This window comes from Homo sapiens, chromosome 15 (assembly GCF_000001405.40).
Source record: "Homo sapiens chromosome 15, GRCh38.p14 Primary Assembly".
Taxonomy (NCBI): Eukaryota; Metazoa; Chordata; class Mammalia; order Primates; family Hominidae; genus Homo; species Homo sapiens.
Genome location: NC_000015.10, coordinates 83740768 through 83765631, shown reverse-complemented (window position 1 = coordinate 83765631; position 24864 = coordinate 83740768). Strand labels below are relative to the sequence as shown.

At 40.0% G+C, this 24864-nt stretch overlaps 1 protein-coding gene across 12 annotated transcripts in view, besides 2 other annotated features; it reads right to left on the bottom strand.

Annotated features, from left to right (window-relative positions):
- Positions 1-24864, bottom strand: part of ADAMTSL3 (ADAMTS like 3) — a 385720-nt gene that overhangs the window by 274211 nt on the left and 86645 nt on the right. The window lies entirely within an intron of this gene.
- Positions 7406-7575: an enhancer, noted in NCBI's record as "experimental_41626 CRE fragment used in MPRA reporter constructs". NCBI's record gives its function as "activates a minimal promoter by MPRAs in K562 erythroleukemia cells, with activity observed for both the introgressed and non-introgressed 15:84426894 variant alleles {active_cell/tissue: K562}" and the evidence as "EXISTENCE:reporter gene assay evidence [ECO:0000049][PMID:34662402]".
- Positions 20566-20735: an enhancer, noted in NCBI's record as "experimental_41616 CRE fragment used in MPRA reporter constructs". NCBI's record gives its function as "activates a minimal promoter by MPRAs in K562 erythroleukemia cells, with activity observed for both the introgressed and non-introgressed 15:84413734 variant alleles {active_cell/tissue: K562}" and the evidence as "EXISTENCE:reporter gene assay evidence [ECO:0000049][PMID:34662402]".

Below are 24864 nucleotides of genomic sequence, written 5' to 3'. Positions count from 1 at the left end.
CCATCTCATAAAGACTCAAGTACTGCTTGCCTTTCTTGGATCCCCAGGCATAAATCAAATCATAAAATATTTTCCTGACAAGTTCTTAAATCTGTGACTTATAATGAATAGTACAGTTCTACTAGTCTTGCTAAAACATTAGTAATTAAACACAGATTTCACATATAAGGTCACTTATTGGAAATGCTATATTAACAGCTCCATATTAAAAACAACCCAAAATAAAATGAGTTCCACTGGGATATTACTTCCCAGACATCAAATAAATGTTCATTCCAATGTTACCACAAAGGTTATTTAAGGGGATCTCAAACGACCCAGATTTAGTTAACAGTAAATACATTCTTTCAGGTTAATACTACCTTAAGGTCTTTAACAAAAGAAATTTTAAAATATGAATTGGGTGAACGGCATAAAAATGTCACTCAAGCTGTCACACAGACTCAACAATTCAGTCTGACCAGGATATATTCAACACCCATATATCTAAAGCTGTGTGCTAGGTACTGTTGAGAAATGCTCCGTACCTCTGTGTTTTACTTCTCTCTTCTTCAGTCCATTCTACCCTCTGCTGCTCCAAAACTCATTACCCTGACAGTTGATGGCCTCTAGGATTTGGTTGACACTTTCCTAGTCAATGTGCTCCTAATTATTTTACCACCTTTAAAGCCCTTCACTAATTCCTCAGGACACACATTCTGCTCCTCTAGGCTGTTTGTGCCCTATCCTACCCTTTGTTCAGCTTCATCTCTGGTGGCTCCTGCTAGCACCACATATCCCATATGCTGAGCACACAACATTTTTCATTATTTCAGACACTAACACACTTGCCATCCTGCTTGGGAAGCATTTTTAAAACACGCTATTTACCAAGGTAGTGGACAGGGTACAGGGAAACCATGAAGCCTGGTGCAGCACCCTGGGGCTGGTGCCAGCCAGATTCTGTGGATTTGACGATTCTCATTATCTGCCTTGGCCCTGCACGCTAGATGGGGCAAGGGCAGGCAGGGGCTGTGTATACAGGGCTGCCTGAGAGGAACTAAGGCCTTCGGTTGAGAATCAGAGCCCACAGCAACCCACAAAGAGAGAGCTGGGGAAGTAAACAAACACACTTCTGTCCTCCCTCTCTCCAGTCGCCCTGCAGTGCTCGTTATTTGCCAAACCCAACCAGAAGCCAGAGGGCAAGGGAGACCATTGATGCTGTCCATGCAGGTCAGCTTCCCATTGGGTGGAGCGCGGGGCAGGGAAGGGTGGAGAGTGGATCTGGAGGGCAAAGAGAAGCTTTCCAGCACAGTAATTTATTGACTCACTGGACTATTTTTAAGCAGAGGAGTGACTTAGGCAGACTGTATTTTGGAAAACTTACTCTGGCAGGAGTGTGGGTAAGGACTGAGGGAGCAAAGCCTCACATCAGAGAGCATAGCTAGAAGGCCACTGACATGCAAGAGACAAGAGCCTAGACTAGATTTACCAGTGTCTGGAGGAGGAGAGCATAGATGCAAAGTTCAAAGGTGCTGGAATCAATAGGAGCTGGCAGCTGACCAGATGCAGGAAGAAAGGAGATGTTAGGATGACTCCCAGGCTTCTGTATTAAATGATTTGTGGCAAATGCCAATATCATTCAGGCTTCCCAAGCATCCTCAAGCCCACCCTTGAGGTAGGATTCTCAGCACCTGTGTGTACAGAATGAGAGCAGTTTACCTGATAATGGTTAAGATAAAGGGGGCAAGCTGTTGGTCTCTGGGAGGAATCTGGCCTGCAGGTCTGAGTTATTTAACAATGATTGTATATTCTGCCAAACGAGCCCCTAAAAAGAATTATTTCTTAGGCCGGGTGCGGTGGCTCACGCCTGTAATCCCAGCACTTTGGGAGGCCAAGGCGGGCGGATCACGAGGTCAGGAGATTGAGATCATCCTGGCTAACAGGGTGAAACCTCGTCTCTACTAAATATACAAAAAAATTAGCCAGGCATGGTGGTGGGCGCCTGTAGTCCCAGCTACTCAGGAGGCTGAGGCCGGAGAATGGCGTGAACCCGGGAGGCAGAGCTTGCAGTGAGCCGAGATCGTGCCATTGCACTCCTGCCTGGGTGACAGAGCGAGACTCTGTCTCAAAAAAAAAAAAAAAAGAATTATTTGTTAAGGTTTAAATATACGAAGATTTCACATAAAAATATAGATTTCTGAGGCCTAGAGTGAGACCCTGTCTCAAAAAAAAAAAAAATCTAGATTTCTGACTTCTCAGGAAAATAAAATAAAATTCACATCACAGCATGGCAATAATTAAAACTGAGTGTGGCCATCCGATTTTTAAAGGGCATGTGACCTCTAATATGCCCAGTCCCCATCCAGCCACTGTGAGGATTCGTATTATTTTCCTGGCCTCTGTAGATCAAACTGGGAGCTTGTTGGTGACAAATGACTGTCAGCTTGAAAGTAAATCAAGTCCAGGTGTGGTGGCTCATGCCTGTAATCCCAACACTTCAGGGGGCTGAGGTGGGGGGAATCACTTGAGGTTCAAGAGTTCGAGACCAGCCTGGCCAACACGGTGAAACCCCGTCTCTACTAAAAAAATACAAAAATTAGTCAAGTGTAATGGTGTGCACTTGTAGTCCCAGTTACTCAGGAGGCTGAGGCACGAGAATTGCTTGAACCTGGGAGACAGAGGCTGCAGTGAGCCGAGACTGCATCACTGCACTCCAGCCTGGGTGACAGAGTGAGACTCTATCTCAAAAAAAAAAAAAGAAGTAAATCAAAAGACATGTATATTTATAACTGATATAAGATTCTTCACAGTATTGCTATAGAACGGCATTATTTTCCAGAAGTAAGAAGCATACATACAACATGTAGCTGAAAAATAAAACAAAGGGCATTTGGTTTTTGCTATGGTCTGAATGTGTCCCTGGAAATTTATATGTTGCAAGTTGATCACCAATGTGATAGTATTAAGAAGTGTGGCCTTTAGGAGGTAATTAAGTTATGAGGGTGGAGCCTTTAGGGCCCTTATAAGGAGCTTGAGAGAGTTAGTTCCCTCTCTTCTGCCCTCCCACCGCGTGAGGACATAGCGTTCGTGCCCTCTAGAGGACATGGCAACAAGGCACCATCTTGGAAGCAGAGAGAAGAGCCCTCACCAGACACCAAACCTGCCGGTGCCTTGAACTCAGACTTCCCAGCCTCCAGAACATGAGAGAATACATTTTTGTTCTTTACAAATTACCCAGTCTCAGGTATTTCATTATAGCAGCACAAATTGACTAAGATAGTTGTCTTTACTGCACGCTAAGATCAGAGTGTGTCCACAGAAGCAGAATATATGTCATTCCATGAGGCCCAGTGTCTAAACTCTACTCCCTTTCCACATGTGAACTTTGCAGTATTTCAGACATAAGATATTAGTGTATTTAGGAATCATATTCTGGCTAAGCGCAGTGGCTCACACCAGTAGCCCCAGCTGCTCAGGAGGCTGAGGCAGGAGAATCACTTGAACCCAGGAGGTGGAGGTTGCAGTGAGCTGAGATCACGCCACCGCACTCCAGCCTGGTGATAGAGCGAGACTCCATCTCAAAAAAAAAAAAATCATATTCTGGGATGTACCTATGCAAGCACTAACACAAAAGAAACCACGGGCCCTGCAGGAGACCATCTGAGGAATCACATGTGCCACATCTCCAGTGACAATCCCCATACAAACCAATATCATGCCTGACAATATCTAGGTTATTTTTCCCTATTAATGCAATCAGTGTTTATACCTACTAGACAAGTAGCTTGTTCTTTTCTAAGAATCATAACCAGGTCCTCTCAGATTGTAGCAAGAGACAACATTCAAATACAATGACAGCTTTGTTTCATACTGACTTTATTTTTGTTAAAAATAAATTCTTAAACATAAAGATACTTTACATGAGGGAAGATTTAATAGGATATTATCTATGCTCTTGGGTTAGTCATCATGAAGCATATATAACACAACATCAGGTAAGATTAAAAAGAGAGAACTGCAGGTTGCCAAATTTAAAAGTCTGATGGAGAGGAATGGTGGGCTAGATAATACAGATCAACCATGCCATTGAGGACAACTACAAAAGCAAAAATGTCCTCCAGGAAATTAAAGTAAAAGAAAGAGATTGTCAGACAAAAGAGAATTCATCTTCAGCAGACCAGTCTTAAAGAAAATATTAAATGGTGTTTTTAAGATTAAAGGAAGCTTGGAGATGATGAAAGAAATGAAGAGCAAAAATAAGAATGGTAAACGTAGGTAAATTAAAAGAAAAGCAACTGTGTAAAACAGCAATTATAATGGATTGTGGAGTTTTAAATATTTATATGGAATTAACATACCTGACAATGACAGCCTATGAGTCAGAAGAGAGATAAATGGCCTTAAAGTATCCTAAGGTCCTTGTATCATCCATGAAGAAGATAAAAGAACCAATTAATATTCGACTTTGATAAGTCAAGGATAGATGTTTTAAGCTCTAGAGTTACCACTAAAAAAAACAGAAAAGAGTGTATGACTTCCAAATTAATGTATATGGGAAAAGATATAATAAGAAAACACATTTAATCAATCCAAAAGAAGGCAAAAATGGAGAGAAAAAGGAATGTAGGCAGATGGATAAATTTTAAAAGCTCAGAGTAAAATGGAAGATTTAAATGCACATATATCAATTACATTAAACCCAAATAGAATAAATCACCAATTAAAAGACAGATTGTCAGGATAAAATTTAAAAATTCAGTTATATTCTGTTTAAAAGAGACATTCCTTAAATATAATGGCCAGAAAGATTAAAAATAAAAGATTGAAAAAAATACTTACCATAAGCCTACTAACCAAAATAAATCTGGCTTAGTCACACTAATTAGACAAAGTAGACTTTAAGACAGAGAGATGCTACATACTGTTGGAAGTTTGATTTCACTAGGATGGAACAAATTCTAAAAGTGAAAGTACCTAACAACATAACCACAAAATATATAAAGCAAAAACTGACAGAACTGTAAGAAGAAATAGAAAAATCCATAATGATGGTGGGAGGTTTTAACACAACTATCATTAACTTATCAAGCAGGTGAAAAAAATAAGTAACGATACAGAATATGGAAACAATTAAATTACAAATTGAAACTATGTAACTGTATAGAAAGCTACAACTAACCATCTCAGAATATATATTTTTTGTATTTATGAAATGTTTATAAACATTTATCATGATCTGAGCCATATAGAAAAGTCTCAAAAATTCAAAGATTGAAATAATACAAGTTTTTTCTCTGACAACAAAGCAAAAAAGCAAGTTTAAAACTAGAAAATGTCCAAACACATTCCATAGGTTAAAAATTAATCACAATGAAAATTAGAAAATACTCTTAATGAATGAAGATGAATATATTACATACCAAAACGTGAGTAAAGCAGCTAAAGCTATGCTTGGAAGGGGATCTGTAGTTTTAAATGCACATATTTGAAAAGAAGAAAGATGAAAAAATCAATGATCTTAAACTATTTCAAGACAGAAAAATGACAACACATACAACCCAAAGAAAGTAGAATAATAAGGATGACAACAGCAATTATGAAATGGAAAACAAAAATATAAGCAAGAGGATCAACAAATTAAAAAAGACTAATAAAATTAAATTCCTTGGCAAGACTATGAAAGAATAAGAGAGAAAAGTCACTAAAAATCAATTTTAGGAATGAAATGTGGAATATCACTGCAGATTCTGTAGGCCCTAAAATGGTAAGAGGATGAAAAACATCTTTATGTTAATATATTTCATATTATGAAATATATTATGTTTCTTTATGTTAATATATTTCAAAATTTAGATGTAGGCCAAGCTGCCCTAAGGCAGGACAAACTCTTCTGAGTAATTTACCCTCCAGAGCTGCCACAGGATAGGCAATGGCTGAGATTCACCCTAAATCCCATCTTTGCTGTGCTCCTTCCTGTCTTCCACTTCTCTCACTTCCTTTTTGGGTTCCACTGGAATAAATCACTTGGATACGAATCTTCATCTCAGGTCTTCTTCTTAGAACCCAACCCAAGAAACTTATTAAACTATGTGCATGTCAAAACATTGATTTAAAAAAATACTGCTGGCCAGGCCCAGTGGCTCACGCCTGTAATTCCAGCACTTTGGGAGGCCAAGGCAGGCGGATCATGAGGTCAGGAGATCAAGACCATCCCGGCTAACATGGTGAAACCCCGTCTCTACTAAAAATACAAAAAATTAGCTGGGCATGGTGGCGGGCACCTGTAGTCCCAGCTACTCGGGAGGCTGAGGCAGGAGAATGGCGTGAACCCGGGAAGCAGAGCTTGCAGTGAGCGGAGGTCGAGTCACTGCACTCCAGCCTGGGCGACAGAGCGAGACTCCATCTCAAAAAAAAAAAAAATGTCATTCAAAAATGATAAAGTATTAACATGAGTTACTTCTGGGTATGGGTACACATGAGTTTATTATACTAGTCTCTTAACTTTTCTATTTCTCTATTTTTCTAATTAAAACAAAAAAAGGAAAGATGTGGATCAGAAGAATTTCTGAGATGTTCGAGCAGTGAAAGCAAGTGACCTGCAAGGGGAAAGGTCTGCCTTCTCCACAGCAACATCTAATGCCAGAACACAAGGAAGCAGTGCCTACAAAATCCCACAAGAAAAAAATCACCCAAGAATATTACAACTGCCTAAGCCCTATTCAAGAATAAAAGCACCTCATCAATATTAAAACCTTTGTGCATAAGAGGACACTATTAACAGAGTGAAAAGGTAATCCACAGAATGGGAAAAATATTTGAAAATAATATATCTGACAAGGGGTTAATATCCAGAATATATAATGAATTCTTACAATTCAGCAACAAAAAAAAGAAATAGCCCAGTTAAAAATTGGGCAAAAGACATGAATAGATATTTATCCAAAGAAGATATATAAATGGTCAATAAGCAGATGAAAAGGTGTTCAATATCACTAATCATTAGGGAAATGCAAATGAAATACCACTTTATACCCATTAGGGAAATGTAAAGGAGATACCACTTCATACCCATTAGGATGACTATTATAAAACAAACAAACAGGAAAAAAGTTAACTGTTAGTGAGTGATATGGTTTGGCTGTGTCCCCATCCAAATCTTGAATTGTAGCTCCCATAATTCCCATGTGTTGTGGGAGGGAACTGGTGGAAGGTAATTTAATCATGAGGGCAGGTCTTTCTTGGGCTGTTCTCATGACAGTGAATAAGTCTCACAACATCCGACAGTTTTATAAAGGGGATTTTCCCCGCACACATTCTCTCTTTGCCTGCCACCATGTAAGATGTCCCTTTGCTCTTCCTTCCTCTTCCACCAGGATTGTAAGGCCTCCTCAGCCATGTAGAACTGTGAGTCAATTAAACCTTTTTTACTTATAAATTACCCAGTCTCAGGTATGTCTTTATCAGCAGCATGAAAACGGACTAATACAGTAAATTGGTACTGGTAGAGTGGGGTGCTGCTGTAAAGATACCTGAAAATGTGGATGCAACTTTGGAACTGGGTAATGGGCAGAGGATGGAACAGTTTGGAGGGCTCAGAAGAAGACAGGAAAGTTTGGAACTTCCTAGAGACTTGTTGAATGGCTTTGACCAAAATGCCGATAATGATATGGACAATGAAATCTAGGCTGATGTGGTCTCAGATAGAGATGAGGAACTTGTTGGGAACTAGAGCAAAGTGACTTTTGCTATGCTTTAGCAAAGAGACTGGCATCATTTTGTACCTGCCCTAGAGATATGTGGAACTTTGAACTTGAGGGAGATGATTCAGGGTATCTGGTGGAAGAAATTTCTAAGCAGCAAAGCATTCAAGAGGTTACTTGGGTGCTGTTAAAAGCATTCATAATGAAATGAAAACAGAGCATAAAAGTTCAGAAAATTTGCAACCTGAGATGTGATAGAAAAGAAAAACCCATTTTCTGAGGAAAAATTCAAGCCAGCTGCAGAAATTTGCATAAGTAACAAGGAGCCAAATGTTAATCACCAAGACAATGGAGAAAATGTCTTCAGGGCATGTCAGAGACCTTTGCAGCAGCACCTCCCATCACAGGCCCAGAGGCGTAGGAGGAACAAATGGTTTCATGGGCCAGGGCCCAGGGCCCCCCTGCTGTGTGCAGCCTAGGGACTTGGTGCCCTGCATCTCAGCCACTCAGCCACTCAGCCACTCAGCTAAAAGGGGCCAAGGTACAACTCAGGCCATGGCTTCAGAGAGTGAAAGCCCCAAGCCTTGGCAACTACCATGTGGTGTTGAGCCTGTGGGTGCAGAGAAGTCAAGAATTGAGCTTTGGGAACCTCCACCTAGATTTCAGAGGATGTATGGAAATACCTGGATGTCCATGCAAAAGTTTGCAGCAGGGGCAAGCCCTCATGGAGAACCTCTGCTAGGGCAGTGAAGAAGGGAAATTTGGGGTGCGGGCCCCACACAGAGTCACCACTGGGGCACTGCCTAGTAGAGCTGTGAGAAGAGGGCCACCTTCTTCCAGACCCCAGAATGGTAGATCCACTGACCGCCTGCACCGTGTGCCTGGAAAAGCTGCAAACACTCAATACCAGCCTGTGAAAGCAGCCAGGAGAGGGGCTATACCCTGCAAAGCCACAGGGACAGAGCTGCCCGAGGCCATGGGAGCCCACCTCTTGCATCAGCGTGACCTGGATGTGAGAGATGGAGTCAAAGGAGATCATTTTGGAGCTTTAAGATTTGACTGCCCCACTGGATTTCAGACTTGTATGGGCCCTGTAGCCCCTTTGTTTGGGCCAATTCCTCCTATTTGGAATGGTGTATTTACCCAATTCCTGTTCCCCCATTGTATCTTGAGAGTAACTAACTTGCTTTTGATTTTACAGGCTCATAGGCAGAAGTGACTTGCCTTGTCTCAGATAAGACTTTAGACTGTAGACTTTTGAGTTAATGCTGAAATGAGTTAAGACTTGGGGGACTGTTGGGAAGGCACGATTGATTTTGAAATGTTAGGACATGAGATTTGGGGGGGGGGCAGGGGTGAAATGATATGGTTTGGCTGTGTCCCCACCCAAATCTCAAATTGCAGCTCCCATAATTCCCATCTGTCATTGGAGGGACCCCGTGGAGGTAATTTAATCATGAGGGCGAGTCTTTCTTTTGCTGTTCTCATTATAGCGAATAAGTCTCACAACATCTGATGGTTTTATAAAAGGGAGTACCCCTGCACAAATAATCTCTTTGCCAGCCACCATATTAAGATGTCCCTTTGCTCTTCCTTTGTCTTCTGCCATGAGTATGAGGCCTCCCCAGACATGTGGAACTGTGAGCCAATTACACCTCTTTCCTTTATAAATTACCCAGTTTTGGGTATGTCTTTTTCAGCAGTGTGAAAACAGACTAATACAGTGAGGATGTGAAGAAATTAGAACATGTGTTCATTGCTGGTGGGAATGTAAAATGGTACAGCCACTGTGGAAAACATTACGGTAGTTCCTCAAAAAGTCTGATGTATTATCATATGATCCAGCAATTCCACTGCTGTGTATATACCCAAAAGTATTGAAAGCAGGGGGCCAGATGCAGTGGCTCATGCCTGTAATCCCAGCACTTTGGGAGGCCAAGGCAGGTGAATCACCTCAGGTCAGGAGTTCGAGAGCAGCCTGGCCAACATGGCAAAACCCTGTCTCCACTAGAAATACAAAAATTAGCCAGATGTGGTGGCAGGCGCCTGTAGTCCCAGCTACTCAGGAGGCTGAGGCACAAGAATCACTTGAACCTGGAAGGCGGAAGGTGGAAGTTGTAGTGAGCTGAGATCATGCCACTGCACTCCAGCCTGGGCGACAGAGTAAGAATGTCTCAAAAAAAAAAAAAATTGAAAGCAGGGACTCAAACAAATGTTTGTACCACTCTGTTATAACAGCAGTATTCATAAAACCCTAAAGGAGAAGACAACCCAAATGTCCACTGACAAATAAGTAGAGAAGCAAAATATAGTGTACACATGCAGTGGAATATTATTTAGCTTCAGAAAAGAATGAAATTCGGGCACAGGCTACAACATGGATGAACTTTAAAGACATTATGCTAAGTGAAATAAGCCAGACACAAAAGGATAAATATTGTATGATTCCACTTATGAAGTGCCTAGGGTAGTCAAATTCACAGAGACAGAAAGTAGAATGGTGGTTGTCAGGGACTGGGGGAGGAGAGAATAGGGGGTTATTATTTAATGGGTACAGTAGGTTCAGTTTTGCAAGAGGAAATAAAGTTCTAAAGATGGATGGTGGTGATGGTTGCACAACAATGTGAATGTACATGATGCCACTAAACTGTACACTTAAAAATGGTTACAATGGTAAATGTTAAACAATATATATTTTACCACAATAATTTTTTAAAAGAGTACAGGCAACACCAAGGTGTTCAAATGTTAAAAAAAAATGGAAAAACTCAGTAAATACAGCCTTTCTTTCAAAAGTTGATGATGAAATCCAACCAGCTAGGAAATGATTCAAAATTTTTACAACAGGATTATAAAAGTCATATAAAAGGAATGGTGGTGAGCATTTAATCCATTTAAACATTAAACTTTGAATAAATAACAGGAAAATTAGGGTGTGGAACATATACGATATTAAATTAGCATATATAATAACATAACCAATATAAATCTGGAAGGTGAATGGAAGAAAGTTGTAGGGAAATTAAGTACCATTGACTAAAATTTAAATATGAAATTTTAAAACATAGTAACGCCAATCTCCTCACCTTTTGTGATACACTTAGAGGTATCTTTAAGGAAATAATTTATTCTGCTGTGATCAAACATTCATCTCAATTTAGCAAATCCTTCAGTTTTATTTCATTTCCTTATCATCTATTAAATTCACATAAAATTAAATATTTTTAATTTAAAATGGCATGCATCATGTAATGGCATTTCTATAGCCCTATGTCTATGTATTTACCTTATCCAAAACCCTGTTTGTGTATGTGTATGAAAATGCTTAGAATGCTATTTACCACATATGAACACTAGTTATTTCTAGAAAGTAGGATGTAGGGTGCTTTGTAGTTTTCTTTGTACCTCTTCCAAACTGCTGGATTTTTAAAACAACATCTAACATTTTTAAAATGTTAATTATTCTGACAAATAAATCAATCCAACCTGGGTGTAAAGAAGTCATCTCACTGTGCCTTCAAAACCTAAGGCCCAAATTCAGCTCTCTCCGGTGAACGCTTGCCAAGAAGCCTGTCTTGGTGGCTGGCATTCCTGCGAGCAATATTTATGGAAACTGCCTCAGGACATCCCAAGGCAGATCGAACAAGGCCTGCAGTCAGATGCTACAGATTATTAACTTCCAGCCTCACATATTTCAACAAACATTCTAGAATGGTGCTTTTCTGTCACACAGTTTTGCCCCCCAGGGAACATTTTGAGATGCCTGGAGACATTTATGGTTGTTGCAACTGAGGAGAGGGAGGTGCTACTGGCATTAATGGGTGGAGGCCTGACATACAGTGCCCAGGACAGTCCCCACCACAAAGAATTATCTGACCTAAAATGTCAACAGTGGTGAGGTGGAGAAACCTGTTCTTTCTAGAGGATGTGTGTCCACACAACCAAACCTCTTTACTCTCATGATGACTTATGAAGATAAAAATCCTTTCTAAATCATTATGACAACCACATGTTATTAAAATCTTCAACCTTCAGATAAAGTTATAACAACGCAAACTGCTTCACTTTCGTTTATCACATTAGAGCAAAATAGTACTCTACATGGATGTAATGTTTTTCATCCCTTCCAAGCAGGTTCCTATAGATCACTTTATATATTTTCTTGCTCTCCATTTACAACCACAAGATAACCATAGAAAGCTCTTAATTTCAACATACCCCAAACCATAATCAAAGCATTTATATTTGACAATCTACAGTAGGCTTCTCTTTCCAAGAAAAAAAAAAAGCACAGTTTTTCAAGTTTAATGATATCAAGTTTTCAAAAAAATTCTTTTTCGACTTTTCTTAGTGATTTACTTCCATCCATGGTTAGCCATTTCACATAGAAAAACACAGGGTTGTGCCAACGACTCATCAAGAATATTACCCAGACCACATTTTAGGGGCACAGGCTTTAAATAAACTCCCACAAGAAATATTATTTGACAGCTACCAAAGTAAGTAATGAAAGAAGCCAGTGCATTGTTTCTATCTCATACCTCTCCTTCTGGGATTGGTTGGTGGTCTGCATGCTCTGGACCACCTGCAGGGGTTGTGCTGCCCTAGGTGAAAAGAGAAAACTGGGACAGAGAATTCTGCACACCTGAGATCAGTAGCACAAAAAAATTGAAAAGCTGAGAGCAAAATCCCAATTCCTTGACTAAAAATGGTAGGTGAGTGTCCCTGGTTAGGTTAATAATGGCCTCATGTAGATGACTGCTGCATGGTTCAGAACCCTAACCATTCAGACCATCAAGTCTTCAGAAAGGTAGCCAGGGTTTTGCAGGTCAAGCAAAGTTAGAAGTCACTTACTGACTCAACAGCATTCACCAAGCCCCATTTAGTAGCTGCCCTCAAAAAGGTTAATCTCACTGGAAGATAAACGAAAACTCATGATTGCAAGCAGGCAATACACACTGAAAGAACAAGGAAGGACAATGACTCCTCAGCCTGTGAAGTCAGGGCATAATTCTCAGGGAAGGTGTCAATTGAGCTGAATCTTGATGGATGAGAGAGTTGAACAAACCTAAAGGCGAGCATATGAGCAAACGGTCTCTATAATTTTGGCAGAGGAAAAGAGAAGAAATGTTTGTGTAAACTTCAGTGGGTTGTAAATAGAGTTATCAAAGAAATATAGTAACTTCTACAGAGCTGTGTCATCTAAGTTATATTGTTATCTGTTTTCTTAACATGACCTTAAATTTACACTAGCCACATTTCAAGCACTTGTTATGCACATGTGACTACTGGCTACTATATTAGATATTGCAAATATAGGAAATTTCCATAATTACAGAAAGTTATAATAGACATTAGAAAGATATAAGTAATTTGGAAATAAGGTCACAAAGTTGAAAGTAAAGCCAAAGACTTTCTTGGGAAAGAAAATTTGTGCGTGTATGTATGTGTGTGTGTGTGTATGCATAAGCATACATGAACATTCACTTCACATATGGATGTAAAATAGAACTACACATTAAATTAATCATTTATTAGATTTAATCATATATTTTATAAATTTTAGTAATATCCAGTATGGGATTTTTTTAAATAGAATTCAAACTTTCAAAATCACCATAGAGAATAAATTTAAGCAATTTTGGTCTATTACAGCAAAGTATCAAAAGTAAAGAAAATGCTAAGGCTATACCAAAAAATGTGAAAACGATAAAGGAATAAACTAAAAATAACAGAAGAAGGAATATAAACCAAACAGAGCATCTTCTCTTTTTAGCACTTTTGTCTTCTATACCACTGATTTGATTTTCCACAAAGCCAATTTTGCTCTTCATTCTCTTTTCATTTTGTTGTTTTCATAACACTTAATATTTTCTTCAATTGCATCAGTAGCCAAAGCAAATGGTATTTAAAATGTATTGTTTCTCATAATAAATTGCATTCTGTAAATTCTCTCTTTACCTCTTTAGGGCATAGGTTGTTGTTATGATGCAGAATCTTTTCACATTTCTCACGCTACTATTGATGATTTTTACTCCTTGTCAAACAGCAATCTATTCTAGGCTGGTATTTGCCCCCAAACTATTGTTGGTGGATTCTCGTTGGGTGGAAAACTTTTTACTCCTCACTTGAACACTGTGGGAAATTTTTTCACACCTGGGGTTAGGGGATGAATGAGGAGCAAGTAGTGAATCAAGATGAAAGTAACTCCATAAAGAGGATGTCACCTCTGCAGTATCTCCTCTGCATTTATTAAAGATGCTGCATCAAAGGGTTAAGGCTTCTATATACAGTTTTCTGTTCATTCCAGTCACCACATCTCCATACCATATACATCGAATTTCCTGGCACAGCTGCCCACCTTCTTGGAAAGGACACAAACACACTGGAAAAAATTTACATCAGAAAAAAAGCACCAACACCCACAGATTTATATTTGGTGTTGCACCTCTTACGCTTGACTTACTTGGACCACAAGCTTCCAAATATTATTGACCCAGAGCAGCCAACAAGGCTCTAGGAAGAATTATGTCCATCCCCCTATCATTTGAGACTTAATTTCCAGGTCACTATTAATTTGGGCTCTGCTTCTAACCTAGAAAATGACCTCCAACACTTGGTTAAGTCAGTATATTGGTTTTTCTTTTTGTCCATAATAATATAAAATGCCAAAATTTTAATAACGTTGAAATTATATTCATCATTGACTCAAAGCTACAATTCATCCTCACATTGTTAACTTAGTCCACTGAGTTTTCATTCTTCAAATTTCAGCTCAATTTTCCTCAAAGAAGCCTTACCTGACTTCAGTCTGTAATTACAGAACAAACCATGTGACTAATGGATTAATGTCCATCTCGAACTAGACTACAAGCTCCATAAAATTTGGGATTTGATCTTGTTTTACCTACCAGTGTGTCTCTGGCAATTAGCATTGTACCTGACATACAAGAGGGACTTAATAATATATACTAAATTAATGCATGAATTAATAATTTAGTTAATGGACGAACAAATGCATAGAGTTAATACTTTCAGTAATAAATGAAGGAAAAGTCATGTTTTGAGTCAATGAATCAACGAATTAAAATGTCTCCCCCAGCCGGGCGCAGTGGCTCATGCCTGTAATCCCAGCACTTTGGGAGGCTGAAGCAGGCAGATCACGAGGTCAAGAGATCGAGACCATCCTAGCCAACATGGTGAAACCCCGTCTCTACTAAAAATACAAAAATTAGCTGGGTGTGGTGGCACGTGCCTGTAGTCCCAGCTATTCGGGAGGCTGAGGCAGGAGAATCACTTGAACCCAGGAGGCGGAGGTTGCAGTGAGCCGAGATCATGCCACTGCATTCTAGCCTGGCGACAGAGCAACACTCTGTCTCAAAAAAAAGTCTCCCCCATGCAAAAATCTGTCTGTGAACCATTTTGAAAAAGAAGGGGACCAGAGTTCTGATCAGTGAATTTATCTTTGTCATTTGTTATCTTTTGTTTTTCCCTAAATTATCTGCTGATTATGGGCATGACACCAAGCTATGATGCAAAACTTACAAGGGAAAAAGAAATATAATTTACTTAAGTCCTCAACAAGTATGGGCTCAAACTGGTTCATTTCTTTACTGCCAGGGTTAATCCCGTTTTCATTATTATTTAAGTAGAAACTTAGGTGAAGACAATCCATCCCTGTGCAATACGGAAAGCTAATTCTGTATTCCAGGTAGCTGTGTTGAGTTACCAGATATACTGTAATTGATTAAGAAACAAAACCCTTAGGCTTGTAATAGCTGATACGTGACTCTGGTTCAGCTTGAATCCATAATTCATTGGCTTCAAATTTTGTGTGTAAATACAAAGATTTGCAAGGCCATAGAGTGGAGGAATCAGTTAATAAACAAATATCCAAAATAAAGTTTCCAGAAGTCTGGTTTCACACTACACTAGTCTTCAACATCTTTCAATGAGCACGCAGTTGAAGGAACACAAACGAACAGATCACTTTAAGGTAGAACCACAAAGTGTTACATCTGGAAAGGGACTTCTGAGCTTATCATTTTTACAGATGGCAAAATTGAGGTCCAAGAGGAAGACCTACACAGTCAAGTCAATGACAAAGAGCTTGAATGAGAACTCAGTTATTTCACCTTGCAACCCAGGACTCTTTTCGAGACCCACCCTATTCGCTTTCATGAATTACTAGTCTATGGCCATCTTCCTGCCTTGGACCTCCTGCCACTACTATTCATCCTCTACATCTAGGCCAGATGTATCCCTTTAAAACACAATTTCACACCTTAGTAACACCTCCCCACTGCTCAGACCATCTAGTGTTTTCTTAATGTCCACAGGACAAAGTTCAGAGTCCTTAGCTGGGCAGTTAGAACCTTCCACCTGCGTCCTACTAACACTCTAACATCACCTCCTACTGCACTTCCAAATGTAACAGCCACTGCAGTCCAATTGTTCTGTCCATCACAGCTCATCAGAACTGTTCTGCATGCATTTGCTTATGCCATTCTTCCTATGGTGACATGTTGACAGCTGCCCAGAATCCCCATCAATAAAGCTCTCGTTGCCTTAGCTGCAAGAGTGTACTATCAAACAGCCTTTAGCCATCAGTCTTTTCGGTGGTTGACTTAGTTGCAGGAAGGCATCTCTCTGAGGGTCACATCCCTGGCCAGGGGAAAATTAAAAGCTAACCTTGGAGAATGTCCTTCAGCCAGAGTCATTTCCACTACTGCCCTGCAACTGTGAGAGAGGCACAGCATCCAGCCCTTCTCTCACACCTGTGGACACATTCAGTGACTCAGCAAAGCAGGGGTCTAACTTAGGACAGCTCAGTCCAACTTAGGACAACTCTAAATGCTATTCTTGTTCCAGAGTTTCTTGTGGGCTGTGCCAAGGCTTTCTTTGGGGCTGCATTTCAGTTTGACACCTCCCACTGCTCATCCTGCTTCATTCTCTTCCTTCCATGAGTGTCAATCCCAAGAAACTCCCAAGTAACCATCTTGCATGTTAAACTCCTCTCAGGGTCTGCTCCCTGGAAAACCCAGCATGCAACACTCCCAGCCCCCAAATACCGGCTCCCACTGTCTTTCAAGGTCTACTCCCCAGGCCACTCCTCTTTACAAGTCCTGTAGCAAATATAGATCAGTTCACTTATTTTACATTAATATGAACCACCTCATACCAATAATTCCTTCTTAGGTATGTGAAGTCACAAATGCATGCTGTGTTTCTTTCTTCTTTCTTTTCTTTCCTTCCTTGCTTCTTTGTGTGTGTGGTATTTTTTTTTTTTTTTTTTTTTTTGAGACAGGGTCTTGCTCTGTCACCCAGGCTGTTGTGCATTGGCACAATCTCAGTTCATTGCAGCCCTGACCACCCAGAGTAAAGTGATTCTCCCACTTCAGCCTCCAACTGGCTGGGACTACAAGTGCATACCACCATGCCTGGCTACTTTTTGTGTATTTTTTTGTAAAGACAGGGTTTCGCCATGTTGCCCAGGCTAGTCTCAAACTCCTGAGCTCAAGGAATCCTCCCACCTTGGCCTCCCAGAGTATAGGGATTACAGGCATGAGCCACCATGCCCAGCCTGCCTACTCTGTATCCCTAAGAACTAGCATCATGACATTGCTACACAGTGAGTGATCAATGAAGGATGACAATCTTGATAATGAAGATGTAACCAATCTTGAACTGACGATCCACTTCAACTAATATGTCATTCTTCTTTCCCTGCTAGACTATAGTTCCCTAAGGGCAGAGTGCTGCTATCCCCACAGGCTCCTTGTAAGAGGCACTGAAGAAAGGAGCAGTGTACTTTTGATGTGCTACTCCCTTTAGAATGAACGAGAATAAGTTTGATTTGTATTCTCAAACATGGGATTGGAGGTGAAGACAGAAAGGAGAAGAAATGTTTTCTTTAAGGGGAATGACATATGAGGAATGTTGTACAAGGTCTCTCTTCCATGCCAACAAGACTCCAGGAGACGCCAAGCAGACACTTGCTGAGAGCTGCCATTCTGGTGCCAGGGAGTCTGGACCTGCCAGATCTCATGGCTGCTCCACCCTGAGCTGCCCTCGTCCATCTAGGATGACCCATGTTCTGAAATAAGATCCGCTTCTCCATCCTTAAACAGCCAAGCAAAACTGTTCCTTTTGTTTCTTTCTCACAGAGAGCAATGGATGTTTGGGAGACATCGGTTTGTCTTAATTAAAACAAAACTGCACCACAGCCATTCTTACGAAGTAGACAAAAAGTAAACAAGGACCTATGATGAACAGTTAGGGCCAAATTTTGAATTTCATGACATGTGAACATGGTCTGAAAAGGAAAGATAAATCCTCTCGTCCTCCAGGGGAACACTTAAAAGCTGACCTTGGAGAATGTCCTTCAGCCAGGGCACAGGGTCACTTCCACTACTGCTCTGAAATGGTGAGAGGAACAGCGTCCAAGCCTTCTCTCACACTTGTGGACAGATCTGGATGGGTACCTGAGAGGAAGTCTAACAAATAGGAAATGGAAAAACTTACTGAAACCATTTCTCCTGCCAGAGCAGAAACTGACCAAAGTGGGGACACTACTACTGCCTTGCAGTGCCAAATAATGAAATGTTGTTTCAACACTCTTCCCAAGTGAGGAAAGAGAAAGTGAAAGACGAGCAGCAGAGGAAAGCAAAACAGGAACAGGATGCAAGTGTGGGATTAGGGAGGCAGCAAACCTCAGAAATGGCCAGAACTGGCTCTCAGCTAACTAGGATTTCAGACACTTGCAGCAAGAGGGCAGCCCAACACTTCCTTATCTAACCTAACTTCCAAGTGACACCTAACACCATATCATCTGGGCAGCCTTCTCTTAAACCCCATCTAACCCATCACTTCTATTAGTCTTGGCATTTTTCTCGATGTCCACACAGAGGTAAAGTATATGAAAGTTCTAAGTTCTAATCCTTTTATTCGCACTCCCCATAGAAAATCCATAGCAAAGCTTTGCCTTATATTATTGCCATATATTACATTATTGCCTTACATTAGTACAAACTGAAAAGTATTTATTCCATCAGTTTAATAAGTAAGAAAATTTCATTTTTTTTAAGAGGCAAGGTCACACTTTGTCACTCAGGCTGGAGTGCAGTGGTACAATCATGGCTCACTGCAGCCTCAACTCCTGGGCTCAAGCAATCCTCTCACTTCAGCCTCCTAAAGCACTGGGATTACAGGTGTGAGCCACAATGCCTGGCTGACTTCACTTTTTAAAAAATCAGAAACTACTTCCAACCCGAAGTATACTGTTTTCACAAGAGACTAGCTTCATCATGTAACTATCATTGTAAATATCATTCACATTACCCAAAAGGTTCCCAGTTAACTGCAAACAGGAACATGAGCAATAGACCGCAGTTGATGTATTAACTCTGTCATTCAAGAGCTGGTGATTTTGATCCAGTTATGTATTTAAATACGAACATTTTCATGGGTAAAGCAAACAGAGGATTTGTGACAGACACTGATAGTTAACACCCAATATCCACACCCTCCTTTCTTTTTTGCTAACAGAACCCCAGGTGGTGAATCATAAGTCAACAAGACTATAGTGTTCACACTTTCCCAGCCTCCCTTGCACTCTGAGTGGCCATGTGAACCAGTTACGTGTCATTGACCAGAACTGGTTCACATGGCCACTCAGACTGCAAGGGAGGATGGGAAAACTGGTCATTTTCTGTCGGTGCTTCTGGGCAAACATCACATTCTTGATTAATAAGACAAAGGGACATAGGCAATTCTATACCTCTTCTCTCCTTTCTTCCTTGGAATTCAATGTGGTGCTTGAAGCTGCAGTGCCATTTTGCAACCATAAGAGGAACGGCCAACCCACTGAGTACAAAGAACAGAGGGAAAGGAGCCTGGATTTTGAGAGCATCACTGAGCCACTGTCCCAGGCCTATTTGTTAGAACAGCCTTTGGCATGGCATTATGTTCCCTGCAGCTGACAACACTAATAACTGATAGAGGGTTGTTGTGGAATTAAAGAAGAGATTATGTGAAAGTCATTTGATAATGTACCTGACACAGCTTTGTCTGGTTCCAAAGACAGCCTCTTTCCATGACAACAGGCACTTATGAGATTGCATTTATTCATAACACATTTTGCCCAATGGCACCAGATAAACCAAGTGTCACTCTATGTACTTTTCACTTCATTGAATTAATGTAGATAGCTTCATCTTGAAACAGAAAATGTTTCCTTGACCCCCTTCTCGACTGGGAACTGGAGTGCATGGGTGCTAGAACTAGCCAGTCGCTTGGGTGCTGGCAGGGGTGGACTGCACTCTCTGGAACCTATTGCACTCAACCCCTCATGGAAGGAAGCACACAGGTGAGCAGGTGCAGGAGCCGGGGCAAGTGCTTTTGGGTGCTGGCAGGAGCAAAACTCCATTCAGACTCCACAGCAGTGTCTAGGAGGAAGTACCTATGACCCCTGAAGCCCCAGAAGGACTGTTACAGTCAGTGCTCTTTTAGCTTTGCCAGCTTAAGTGTTATGCCACTCAGTGGGCTCTCTGCCTTTTCATGTGAGGTGGTTGCTCTCCGCTAATGAGGACAGAGGGTCAGCATGACAGCCTTTAGCATCCACACAAATGGCACCCAAGCTCTTGTCCAGCGTCCAGGAAAAATCAGGTTGCATGAATGAATTGAAGAGTGGAGGATTTTATTGCCGACGAAAGTGTCTCTCATCAGGAAAGGGAGCTGGAAAGGGGATGGACCAGGAAGGTGATACTCCCCATGTGGACTCCTCTCTGAAGCAACGTTGTCAAGCCGCCCAGCCGAAGTCAAGCCGCTTCTCTCTGATGTCCAGTTGCTTCTCCTCTTCTCTGCTCTCTGCCAGCTGAGCCTGGGGTTTTTAGGGGTCCAGGATGTGGGGCAGGGCAGGCCATGGGTGGTTTTGGAAAAGGCAAACATTCGAGGAGGAAAACAGGAATGCATGTTCTCACTTTGGGCTGGGGTTCCAGGCTTGAGGGTGGGGCCTTTGCCAGGGACCCGCCCTCTTATGCCCAGAGTTTCCCTGCTTCCTGTCCCCATCGATATAATAAACAAACACACTCTTTTGACATTACACAAATGGCTTCTCTAGGAAGGCATATGTAAGACACCCCAAACACGACAGTCCTGCTGACAAACCACTGACTGAAAATTAATGCTCATTTGTGGGGAGGGTAGTAGGGAGATTTGGCCAAAGGATACAAAATTTAAGTTAGATAGGTAAAATAAATTCAAGAGCTCTACGGTACAACACAGGTGACTATACTTAATAATGATGTATTGGATTCTTGAAAATTGATAAGAGATTTTAAGTGTTCCCACCATAAAAACAATGATAAGTATGTGAAGTAATACATGTTAATTAGCTTTGCCAGTCCACAATGTATGCATATTTCAAAACATCATGTTGTACATCATGAATATATACAATTTTTGCCAATTAAAATTAATTAATTTTTTAAAAGAAAATTAATGCTCAGAGACAACATGTACTTGAGTGTCCATATGGCAATTCTTGCTCATTTTAGCTAATGGAGATAGAAAATTCTACTTTACACAGAGTGAGAATGAGAAAATCATGGAATCTGAAGTATGTAAATTAGAAAAAAATATTTTTTGGTGTCTTTGGCAAATATTAAGTCACGTGTGTGGTTTTATCTTCCTCTATATAGCAAAGCCCTGCTTTTTCTGGAACTATTAGAATTAAGTATGCTATATAAATGAACTTCCCACATGAAGAAAATTTGCCTTTTTTTAAAATAAAAAAGATATGGCCGGGCGCAGTGGCTCACGCCTATAATCCCAGCACTTTGAGAGGCCGAGGCAGGCAGATCACGAGGTCAGGAGATCGAGACCAGCCTGGCTAGCACGGTGAAACCCCGTCTCTACTAAAAATACAAAAAATTAGCCGGGAGTGGTGGCACGCACCTGTAGTCCCAGCTACTCAGGAGGCTGAGGCAGGAGAATGGTGTGAACCTGAGAGGCAGAGCTTGCAGTGAACCGAGATCACACCACTGCACTCCGCCTGGGCAACAGACGCCATATCAAAAAAAAAAATTAAAAAGATATATGAGTTAAGGAAATCTTTTCTTGTTGACTCCATTATTGGTATAAACATCCATTATTACACTAGATTGAAATACAGCCCTTTAAATATCTTCATCCAATCTCCTCATACAACTGCTGTCTATTCTCATATCTTCGGGCACAGTGTTAGACTCTGGTTACTCTTCTACCCTGTGGCTACTTGCCTCCCCTCCCCAGCCACGGCTGACAGAGAAATCAGACAGTCAAAAATGTCAAACTTGTAACAAACCTTGATGCTTTTGTGCAGGGAAAACAAAATGGTATACTCCTCAAAAGGCAAGGGAAAGCACACTTTTTTTTTTTTTTTTTTTTTTTGAGACGGAGTCTCGCTCTGTCTCCCAGGCCGGACTGCGGACTGCAGTGGCGCAATCTCGGCTCACTGCAAGCTCCGCTTCCCGGGTTCACGCCATTCTCCTGCCTCAGCCTCCCGAGTAGCTGGGACTACAGGCGCCCGCCACCGCGCCCGGCTAATTTTTTGTATTTTTAGTAGAGACGGGGTTTCACCTTGTTAGCCAGGATGGTCTCGATCTCCTGACCTCATGATCCACCCGCCTCGGCCTCCCAAAGTGCTGGAAAGCACACTTTTTAAAGCATTTATTCAAATCAGAAAAAGTAAATGTTAGACAGGTTCCTGATTTTGCTCTTTTAAATGCAAGGCAAATGGACAGAATGATAGAAGGGATAAAAATGGGATGATGAGGTCACAGACTCTTGCTAAGAGGGAGCTAGTGTAGTAAAGTTAGGAGGTAAGCGCAGTTACAATAACACAGGAATGTAAGTACTAGATATAAGCAATAACAGAACAGAAAATTCAAAAATCTGAATCACACAGAAACAGGCAAATATTAAAGCTTCTCTGCAAATGCTGATGGAAAGTATAATGAAATTAAAACAATGAGAGAGAAAATAACAGATGTGGAGATCAAAGAACAGTTTTCATTATAATATATAGACAGTGTTTCCAATTGTAATAGTGAGAAACTTTTCCAAGCTGAAGTCAGATCTACAAACACAGACCGAAGAAGGTGACCCCATTTTAGGCAAAATCATTGGAAAGGAACTCTCCCATAAACACAGCCAGTCAAAATTTCTGAAACAGAAAGATTTAGAACTAATCTTACTAGCTTCCAGACAAGAAAAGCACAAATGATTACAAACTACAAAATCATGCTGTCCAAAAATTACTTTATTATTTTTATCTTTTATTCCACTTGGTTATTCCTAATTTTGTGAACCTGTATTTCCTCATTTCTTTCTTGGTAGAACTAATTAGAAGTCTATCCATTTTGTTACTGTTGTTCCCAAATGACTAGGTTTAAATTTAGCCTTTTGAAAGCTTTAACTCTTCTAATTAACTGAATTTCTGCTTTTGTTTATATTAATTTTTTTCTTCTGAATTCCTTTAGGTATATTTTGTTTTTCTACTGTCATAAGTTGGAAGTTTAGTTTATTTCTATTCATTCTTTAATAGGAAGTTTTCTCTAATTAAAGCTTAGGCTGTAAGCCTAAGGTTAACATAAGGCTGTTTGAAAATTTTTCATTTTCATGGTTTTCTGAATAACTTAGAATCACACATTTTATTTTTCCTTTGATTCAATACTGCTGGCTTAGGAGAGAGGTTTATTTCAATTTACAAGTGGCTAGATTTATTTAATTGCTACTTTGGTTACATATTTCTAATTTTTGCATTAAGATAAAATTGTATATATCTCTTATATGAGAAATTTACTGACTTTTCCTTGTGAATTAATATATAGTAATTTTTTTCGAACTTTCCCAAGGGTTTTTTAAAAGAAGACATATTTTCTACTTAGAAAGCAGAAGGTTCGATATACATTTATTATAGTAACTCTATTGAATATATACATATTTTGAGACAGGGTCTCACCCTGTCATCCAAGCTGAATGCAGTGGCATGATCATGGCTCACTGCAGCCTCAAACTCAAGCGATCCTCCCACGTCAGCCTCCCAAGTAGTCTAGCTAATTTTTGATTTTGTTTGTAGATAAGGGGTCTAGCTATGTTGCCTATGCTGGTCTCAAACTCCTAGATGGAAGTGATCCTCTCGCTTCAGCCTCCCAAAGTGCTGGGATTACAGGGATGAGCCACCATACCCAGCCAAATATATTCTGATCTATATCCACCTTGCTGATCTCACCTTATAGTTCCAATGGTTTTTGAGTTGGTTTTCTTAAATGTTTAGATTGATTATAATTTCTTCAAATAATTACAGTTTTGTATCCTCCTTTACAGTCTTAATACCACTTATTTCTTATAATTTCACATGTCTTTCCTCATTTCAATGAAATGTTTCAATACTAAGTATGGTGCTAGTGGATGATATTCATTAGGAAACTTTTTCCTTATAGTCCTCAAGCATTAAAAAAATTTAGTAGTGTTCTATGTTGAATTTCATCACGTGCCTTCATGACAGCTGTTGAGATAATTCCACAATCTGTTAATGACTGACTTTTTAATGTTAATGACTGAAGTTTAAACCATCCTTTCATTCCTAGGAAAAAACCACACTTGGTGAAGATGCAGTAACCTAAAAAGAAAAAACACCCTGTGGGATTCCATCTATTAATATTTATTAATATAATATTTAGTGTATTATAATTAATATAATATTAACTAATTGCTATCTATTAATATATATTTAGAGTTTTAGTATTTGGTCCATGAGATTGGAGTATAATTTTATTTTTCTGTGCTATCTTTGATGTTTCAGTATCTGTATTATACCAGTCTTCTGGAAAGCTTTCTATCTCTTTCTACATTCCAGAAAAGCTAATATTACATAGGAAATACATGTCCTCTTGAATGCTTGTTACAATTCACATAGAAAAATATGTTGGCCTGGTGTCTTTCTAAGGAATAAACAGCTGGCTGCCTTTTCAATTTTTTCTACATATATTGGTTTACCCAGTTTTTCTGTATTTTTTAGGAATTTGGATTTTAAAGTATTCATTCTATCTAAATATTCAATTGTTATAAATTCATACAAAGTAACTGCTCATAATTTATAATCCTTTCTATATCATGTGAATCTATAGAATTTGTCTGA